This window comes from Homo sapiens, chromosome 4 (genome assembly GCF_000001405.40).
Source record: "Homo sapiens chromosome 4, GRCh38.p14 Primary Assembly".
Lineage (NCBI taxonomy): Eukaryota > Metazoa > Chordata > Mammalia > Primates > Hominidae > Homo > Homo sapiens.
This window is the reverse complement of record NC_000004.12, coordinates 160,544,150-160,553,911: the sequence shown is the minus strand read 5'-3', so window position 1 is coordinate 160,553,911 and position 9,762 is coordinate 160,544,150. Positions and strand designations below refer to the sequence as shown.

The following is a 9,762-nucleotide window of genomic DNA, read 5'->3' as shown; positions in this document are numbered from 1 at the left end:
GCAGAGAAGGAGAGAAGAGAAGCAGCTCGATGTTAGAGAAAAGCAGCTTGACTTCAGAGGGATGGCTTGACCGCGGGACTTCTGAGAAGAGTTCGGCCAGGGGCAGATGAACTCCAGGGGAAGATTATCTTCCCACTCCATCTGCCTTCTAGCTCCCCTTCCCACTGAGAGCCACTTCCACTGCTTAGTAAAATCCTCCGCATTTACCACCCTCCAATTGATTTGCAGACATCATTACTCCTGGACACCGGACAAAGAGCCGGGTGTGGGCGCAAGAGGCTGTCACACTGACTCTGCACTGAGCTGTTTAACACTTAAGCCATCCACAGATGACAAAGCTAAAGGAGCACACTGTAACACATGCCCTCTGGGGCTCCAGAGGTCACAGGCAACCCCTAGACGCTGTCGTGGGAAAGTATGGGGTTTGTTTCTGCCGGCGCCCAAAGGCCCTTGCCCTGGCTCCTGCACCCACTCACTCACCTGTGTGATCCCCCCACTCTCAAGGGGTTTGAGCACTGTGGACTGAGTAAGCAAGCTACCCATTTACAAGTTCTGTGAAGGGGTCAAGGGAACTATCTCATCTCACTTGCATCTGTACTGAATGAAAGTCAGGTATTTTAATAATTTGTCTTAAAATTAAATATAGAGGAGAGGAAACAGCGATGAGAATGAATCCTGCTACCAATCTACCCAACAACTATTATGAAATCCAAATGGACAACAGTATACTCCCTAAGAATAGGCTACATAAATGTCAAATAGGATTTTTAAAGTCAAATATGTTTATTATTTTTTCTAAATGATTGGTGATAGACTCTCCAGGAATACATAATACACGCTCTAAACACTGATTATGAGCTAAAATACTTCACTAGCTTTAATTTCTTCAAACTGTGACAGCATAAAGCAATAAGCATGCTAAACAATATCATCAACATTAACATTATTATAAACACCACCACCAGCATATTGAAGATGGCAGATGATGAAAGTGTCTGGTCCTTGATTTATAGTTGAACTCCTGCCCTCACATTTGCCTGCCTACTTCTGTATATTTTTTGTGAGATAATTTTCTGTCTACTAAACCACTATTATTTTGATATGTGCAAAAATACAAAATGTAGCCTAAGGATTTTTTAAGTAAGTCCTTTACATTTTTATTTTTTATTTGTTTGCATTATAAATTCCCCACTAGAATGGAGACTGAAGAAGGGCAGAGAAAAGCACTATTTGGTTTATCGTTACATCCCTGGTGCATACAACAGTGCCTAGAATGTGTGAGGCACTCAATAAACCTTAATATTGTTCATTACTTAACAATATATTGTAACTCTATAATAAGAAATTTGAAAATATAAAATAATTAGAATATTTCTTGTAAAGCATCAATTATCAACATTTTCCCAGGAAGTATGAACTTAAATAGATGAATTAGTATAGAAGAAACTATTTTAAGAGTTTAAATATTTACTAATACTCAAATAAAAACTTCTAATTCCAGCAGCCTGTTAACTTGACAGCCAGAAACACTTCCCATGGCAAATACGTAGAAATATTACATACAATTTTAATATTTTTTAAATGCATAGCTTCAAATCAAGTTAGAGTAGATTAAAACCTTTGGTGTCAGGAGTATAGAAAAACATAAACCAGTTCAGTTAGCAGATAGGAGGATGCACTGGCTAATCTAGAATGATATAAAGAATACCATTCTAGTCACCAAAGGGCCTGAGTTTTAACACGTGTTGGAGGAAGGATATGAGATTTGAGCCCATGGGAGCTGAAGGTTGATCTTAGAGCCTCATGTGATGAAGGAATCCTCAAAGGGCTTACGAATTATTAAAAAAGTGAACTATCAAAAAAATAATAACCCACTAACAAGCAGAAGAAGAAGGCAAAGAAGCCTTTCTATTACTACCTGGTTTTTAGGTTAAAAATATCTGTCTAGATAATTTGTAACCATGTAACTATTCATGGCTTTGAAGTTGAAATGTATGCCCTACTTATTGCTAACTCAGAATGCCTAACTTGAAAAATTATCTTAAATACCAGGTCCTGAATATTGACATTTTATAAGCTCCCAGCAAAACAAATGTAAAACCACTCATCAGAAACAAATCCTCTACCAGGGCTACACAGGATCCATATGCTAACTAACTCCTCGGTTAAAATTACACATGTTGTAAAGCTGAAACGCAACTAAGCAAAAATCAGCATTCCCAACAGAATAAATTTAAATTCATATGTGTTTCAAACACACTCCCCTACACACATAGGATTGAATGATCTGAACATGGCTTTAACTTTCTGAATTTCCCGGAGACAAAATTTTATAACTTAGAATTCAATACAATAAAATTTCTTTTTGTTTTAACTTGAAGGAATTTTTAATGTTCATTTGGAACCCAAAGGAATTAAAACCAAAATCAAAATATGTCCTTTCTGAACTAAAGCCCAAAAGAAAATTGAAGCCTAACATCAATTCTCGTTCTCTGCAGTTCTAATTCGGCTTGCTGTCAGCCCCAGGCTTTTCACATAGATTCCCCCAGAGAAATAAAGTTGTTTCAACACCTACAGTCTGGGCTGTCTTCTGAAATGGAAATGGATTCTTTAAGAAAAAGTTTAATTAGTTCAACAGTAAGTCTTCTTTGTTTTGTTTAAATTCAAAAATTTAACAAAAACCGAAAGAGTGTCACAAAACTGGCCCCACGCCTACAATATTTAAAAACAAAAGCAAATCCTCAGCTTTTACAGATGTCATCTCAGGCCAAATTTTTTTCACCCAAATTGGTATCATATACACTTTTTTTTCAGATATCAAGGCAGAGGCAGTTTTATGTAGTAAATGCTTCTCAGAAGGAGCGTAGTTAGAGAAAATCTTGGTTTCAGCTTTGTAGGGATAACAGTATCCATCGTTTTTATTCCTTTTTGTTGTTATCTTTCCTGCCGTTTTTTCTGAACCAAGCAAAACTTCACCATCTGCTTTCTCCTTTAACTTTTGAACTGGTAAGGGCTTCTGAAGAAATTAACGGAACTGTACCAATAGCTTCTGCTACATTTTCATGGTTTCTAACTCATTACAGTTCCATCTGCCAAAGTTTTCTTCACTTTTTTATATTCTTTTTGCATGCCCCTCACATTAATCCATACATTTCTCTATAGCCAGGCTTAAAATCTTACACCCTCACATTTTGTACATTGCCTTGATATTTTATAAGAAATCATACTGAGAGGTGACAGCATGCTGGCAATCCTCACAGCCCTCACTCGCTCTCCGTGCCTCCTCTGCCTGGACTCCCACATTGGCGGCACTTACTTGAGGAGCCCTTCAGCCCACCGCTGCACTGCGGGAGCCCCTTTCTGGGCCGGCCAAGGCGGGAGCCGGCTCCCTCAGCTTGCAGGGAGGTGTGGAGGGAGAGGCATGAGCGGAACCCGAGCTGCGCGCTGCGCTTGCGGGCCAGCTGGAATTCCGGGTGGGCGTGGGCTTGGCAGGCCCCGCACTCGGAGCAGCTGGCCGGCCCTGCCGGCCCCGCCGGCCCCCAGTAATGAGGGGCTTAGCACCCAGGCCAGCGGCTGCGGAGGGTGTACTGGGTCCCCCAGCAGTGCCAGCCCACTGGCGCTGCGTTCGATTTCTCGCCGGGCCTTAGCTGCCTTCCCGTGGGGTAGGGCTTGGGACCTGCAGCCCGCCATGCCTGAGCCTCCCACCCCCCTCCGTGGGCTCCTGTGCCGCCTGAGCCTCCCCCATGAGCACCGCCCCCTGCTCCACAGCGCCTAGTCCCATCACCACCCAAGGGCTGAGGAGTATGGGTGCACGGCGCGGGACTGGCAGGCAGCTTCACCTGCAGCCCCGGTGCAGGATCCACTGGGTGAAGCCAAGTGGGCTCCTGAGTCTGGTGGGGAGGTGGAGAACCTTTATGTCTAGCTCAGGGATTGTAAATACACCAATCAGCACCGTGTGTCTAGTTCAGGGTTTGTGAATGCACCAATTGACACTCTGTATCTAGCTACTCTGGTGGGGACTTTTGGAGAACCTTTGTGTGGACACTCTGTATCTAGCTAATCTAGTGGGGACGTGGAGAACCTTTGTGTCTAGCTCAGGGATTGTAAACGCACCAATCAGCGCCCTGTCAAAACAAACCACTGGGCTCTACCAATCAGCAGGATGTGGGTGGGGCCAGATAAGAGAATAAAAGCAGGCTGCCCCAGCCAGCAGTGGCAACCCGCTCGGGTCCCTTTCCACACTGTGGAAGCTTTGTTCTTTCGCTGTTTGCAATAAACCTTGCTACTGCTCACTCTTTGGGTCCACACTGCTTTTATGAGCTGTAACAGTCACCGCCAAGGTCTGCAGCTTCACTCCTGAGCCAGCGAGACCACGAACCCACCAGAAGGAAGAAACTCTGAACACATCCGCACATCAGAAGGAACAAACTCCAGACGCGCCACCTTAAGACCTGTAACACTCACTGCGAGGGTCCGCAACTTCATTCTTGAAGTCGGTGAGACCAAGAACCCACCAATTCCGGACACAATACCAGCAAAACAAAGCAAAAATAATAAAATATCTAGAAATTAACCCACATATTTGTTTGTTTTTGAGGAAAAGTGTTCAAATAGTATGGACTTTTTCTAGGGCCATTTTTTTTAAGTGCCACAAAAATTGGTGAAAAGTTAGGGACAAATAATAATTCATCACGGCTTAAATATTACAAATCAGAATTGTAAACATTCAAAACCATTTTGATTGGTCGAATTAGGCAGGTATAATGTTTCACTTCCACGAATCTTCTACTTTAATCCTATTTCACAATCTTAGCAATTATACTTAGACAACACTGTTTTAGCTAAATAGTTTTAATATAAATGCACTTAGTTTATTTCTGTATTATTTTTCTCTGTCTTCTTTGTAGGACTCCTTTACTCTGCATCCTTGCCCCAGACCACACATCCACACACGCACACACACACATACACATGCACATACACATACATTCCTTTTCTGCTTTATGATGTCTATTCACTAAGAAACAGAGCAGTAATAAGAAAGCTGGCCCTACTATAAGACTACAGTAAATGAATGTACTGAAAGGCTGCAGTTACCAATTGGTTCAGACATCATGAATCTGTGCCAAACCTTAGAGTGTGAAACTACCAGGATCAATACCCATAACATCCCTATAGCATGAAGTGTATCCATCTGTAAAGCAAGCTTGCAAAGGACCAGCAACAACTTCCAGATAATAAAACTATCCACTCAACAACTGCCTCAGGGAAGCAAAACCAGGAACTTCTATTATTCTGCCTATAATTGTCCTGGTCTTTATAGTAAAAGGAAGCAGCTATAAGGGGATTGGAATGTATGTTGAGTGAATCTGTCTCTGATGCCAGCTAGAGAGGTAAAAGTTGTAAATTACCCAAAGCCTATCTCTTGCTAGTATTTTTTTCTTGTCCAGAAACCCATGAAAATTCTTGGTATTTTTCCACGAACTTTCTACCTAAAGACAATACTTCATCCCCAAGACACATATTTCTGTACCTAAGGGAGAGAGGAAGGAGTTGAGGAAAAGTCTGTTGCTCTCTTAATAGAGTAGGTTACCTTCTCCAAATATTTTCCTAAATTTTATTGTTCTAATTCTTTCAAAATTATATACCAGATATGTTTCTATTGTAGTTCTTTAGCGTCTATATTTCTCAGGAAATTATCAGAAGGGATTAACTGAATGCAGTAAGATATAAGGTGTAAAATGATTATACTTATTTAAGTGACTTCTTTTATAATTGATGTATGTGTTGTATAGTTTTCAATCACTCAGTAAATGTTCAAAATAGGTCCTATCTATGTCTTAAAAATATCTTGACTTTCATCAATACTCATTGCATTGACTTGATTTTATGAACTGTTTGGTTAAAGAAAAGCCACCAAACGAATCCCCAAGGATCTTTTTGATAATTACTATTAGATATCAACACAAATAATTAATGCTATTCTTATGTTTATTCAGATCAACTCTTCCTACACTTGTGAAATTTGTTATGATGTGATTGAAACATCTCTGGAATCATAATTTAATGCTGGAAGAACACTGAGAGATCATAGTAAAAATAACTTTGCAGTTAAGGAAATTAAAATGAAGTAAGTTAAGAAGCAAGTTAATCAATAGCAAAACTTTTAGTTTCCTGATAATTTGCCAAATACATTTTCCAGTATATGGTGTTATTTTAAGCTTAGCTTTTTGGCATCTCCGTATTCCAGAACAGCCATCATATAGGTATATGTGCTTACAGTAAAGGTAGCATTTCAATAAGGTATCAGCATCTTTTGCAATGGGTCCAACTAGAGATTTTAGTAAACCTCCGATTCAATTGGTGAAGTGTTTATTTAGCACCTAATCATGTTCATCATTTAATATTTTCTCAAGTCATTCATAATTATCCGTCAGGTGGGCATGAAAGACAGGATTCTTCTTCTAAACTGTATTTTCAAGGACTGACATTATTAGAAGCTGTGAAGTTTAGGCTAAATTTCAGGCAAGTGTATGTTTAGAAGGAATCATCTTATTTCCAATGACAGTGCTCCTAATGCTCTGTTTTGTTTTCATTTTTTTTAATCTCAGTGATCCCCACTGCTTGCAAATGAGTGGAATGCATTCACTTGACCCTCTAAGGTTGTTTCTGTCTTCTAACAGAACATTTGAATATCATCTGTTGTCATCTGTGTGTAAAGATTATCTGGCTCAGCATGATTGTTTTCCAATTATCATTACTCTAATGATGTTGAACTCCTTGCTGGTGATATTTTCTTCCACCAAATGTGAACTATTGAGAGATCTCTCTTCTGAGAATTTAGGAAAGGGTTTTAAAGCTGATTTGCCCTCAACTAGTTCTGTAGCTATTATAGAATGTTACTTACATCCTTTGTATCAAAGTTAGTTTGCCTCAGGAAGGAAGAAAAGAAAAATTTAACAAAACTAGCAAAAAAGAAAAAGCATGTATACCGCTTATTTAACTGGCCTTTCAAATTTCTCTTTAGAGTAAGATTGACAATGGAAATCAGTGACTGAGGCATAAATCTTGATCATGGAGGTTTATTAAGCCACTTTTGGACATATCCCAGGAAAAACACAAGCCACAGACAAATCTGTGGCTGTTTTTCTGAAGAGATTTTCAAAAGGCTTAGTGTTCATACATTTCTTTAAATGAGAGGAGGAGGAAGGCAGATGGGGGGCAGGTAGGTTCTTAGGTTAATACCTCTTAAGATGATAAGGTGAATTACTGAAGAGACAAATGGAGTAACAGAAGAGTCAATTATGCAGAAGTCTCTAGGTAGGTGAAGGAAGGAGTCTTGACTGTTCTACCTCTGAGAAGATAAGCCTCTAATGGACATTTTCAGTGTCCATTAGGAGCTAGACTTAGATTGTAGACATACAGTTATAATTGGCATGTCCTTGTTTATGAGAGGCCAGCAAAGAATTCACTCATGAATGATCCCAGAAGCCTGTCTTTTTCTTGATGCCTGAGGCCTTTTACCTCTCCTGGAGGATCTGGCTGATGCATAATCTAGTAACAACTACTCATTTGGAAGAGAGTGTTGCAAGACCTTCTCTTTCGCATAAGAAGTTTGCAGGTGGGGTTGTGGGGTGGGGGGGGGGGGTCCTGACATTATTTGTAATTTTCCTTTTCAAGGTTATACTCTGCTTCCCAATATCCAAGGACAATTTGAGAATGTTGATTTGTCTTTTTAAATTGGTTGATTAGTGTCCCACAAGATATTTACTGAACAACTAGAGAAGAATCAGTAATAAAGTTAAGCATATGCTACTATCTAAAATCTGTGTCTTTTTTATGGGTTATCATTGAAACCACCTTTGCAAAAATTATAACAGAAAATTATGGCAGTGGAGAAGATCTGATCTCACCAACCCCCATCTTGCATTTGGCCTTCAAGCTGTCCTTAATTATTCCTGGGGTTGGGCCAAGCTGACTTCAGGAGACATTTAGTTTATAGCTTAAATGATAAAGCCCTTCCCACAAACTCTATCACCTTTGTAAAGCTAATGAGACACCACCAGGCTAGGAGGATAGAGAAGCCTGAATTCTGCTAATCTGTATAAATAAACAACTTCCAGCCATTATTGCAGAGGTCACAAGATATGCAAATTCCCCAATTACTCCTGTACATGACATCTCTAATGTAGAACCTAAGACTGGCCCTTTGAGATATCTTTTCAGTTTTTATGTCTGATGAGTGATGGCTCCACTTGGACCTGCCAACTGCTCCTGTGGCTCCACCCAGAAGAGATTCAGTGCACAGGAGGACCATTTCCCACATTCCTACGATTGCACCCCCAACCAATCAGTAGCAAGCATCCAATGTCTAGCCACTCCCACCCCTTCCCCCAAATTACCATTAAAAAACATTAGCCTCAAAATTACCTGGGAGACTGATTTGTGTAGAAATAAAACTCTGGTATTCTATTCAGCTGGCTCTGTGAATTATTAACCTCTTTCTTTATTGCATTTCCCCAACCTTGATAAATCAGCTTTATCTGGACAGGGGGCAAGAAAAAACCACTGGTCAGTTACACCATGATGAACACTAATGCAAGCGCTAAGGATTCTTTAGCATTGCAGGAGTTCTATGAAACCATCCATGACCATGTTGGCAGCTGCCTTAAAGGGTCCTATCACTGATGTGAAATAATTCTTTATTGAATGTGTCCATGATATTTGACAGCTTTTTTGTTTATTCTTTTGGAAGCGTGGATAGGATATATAAATACAACTTCAGATGCACTTATATGATAGTGTGCTGAAATACTCAGTAAGTTTCTGCAATATAAAAACATCTGCACTCACACGTTTGTTTATAGACATTGCACTGGTATATGAAGGGGGTGGCAGCAAAGTAGACATTAAGTAAGCATCTCAAGGATAATGTCTGAAAAGTTGATGAAATAGCTACTCACGAAAATGATTGATAAAGTAATATGTTACGTTATTTCTATGTAGACTAGAAAATTCTACCATAAACCTCAATTTCTATCTGAACACTGTGGCAGGTTTTTTAAGATTTAAGAGAAATAATAAACATTAAATTAAAAATATGAAAAATAAAGCACAATATCTGTGATTTATTTTGGCTGAAGTACAAACAACTTAATCTAACCTTACGTAAGTATCTTGAATAAAAATATAAAGCCATGTTCATTACTGCTTTGAAGTTAGTTAGTTTCCATTGGGAGCATGCGAAGATTATTAAAGTTGATTTTACATATTAATATTTAAGAAATATTGTTGTATAAATAAATATGCATCCTGACAAAAAAGAACAAGATTAGAGAGAGAAAGAGAAAGAAATAGAAGTAGAGCCTAACAGAGAGAGAGAGACAGAGATACGATGTCATGGGAATTTGAAATATAAATAGAACAGGTTCTCCAATAGCATTTGCTAGATTGAAAAGTATATTTCTTCCAAAATAAGGTAAGTTATTTTTGATAAGAATAAAAATACAAGGAAGGAATAAATAATAGCTCAAAAACACTTATGGATTTAAATGGGTAATGATATGGTTAGGCTCTGTGTCCCCACCCAAATCCCATCTCCAGAGGCTGAGGAGAAAATGGTTTCATGGGCCAGACCCAGGGTCCCAGTGCTGTGTGCAGCCTAGAGACGTGGTGCCCTGCGACTCAGCTGCTCCAGCCATGGCTGAAAGGGGCCAACATAGAGCTCAGGCTGTGGCTTCAGAGGGTGCAAGCCCCAAGCCA

The 9,762-nt window shown here is 39.6% G+C and overlaps 1 long non-coding RNA gene across 1 annotated transcript in view; it reads right to left on the bottom strand.

Annotated features, from left to right (window-relative positions):
* Positions 1-417: 417 nt before the first annotated feature.
* LINC02477 (long intergenic non-protein coding RNA 2477) overlaps positions 418-9,762 on the bottom strand; it is a 34,676-nt gene continuing 25,331 nt past the window's right edge. Inside the window, exons 6-7 of the long non-coding RNA XR_001741914.1 lie at positions 8,431-8,543; positions 418-597 (exon numbers count right to left, since the gene is read on the bottom strand). This is a non-coding gene — a long non-coding RNA (long intergenic non-protein coding RNA 2477). The remainder of the gene's footprint in view (positions 598-8,430; positions 8,544-9,762) is intronic.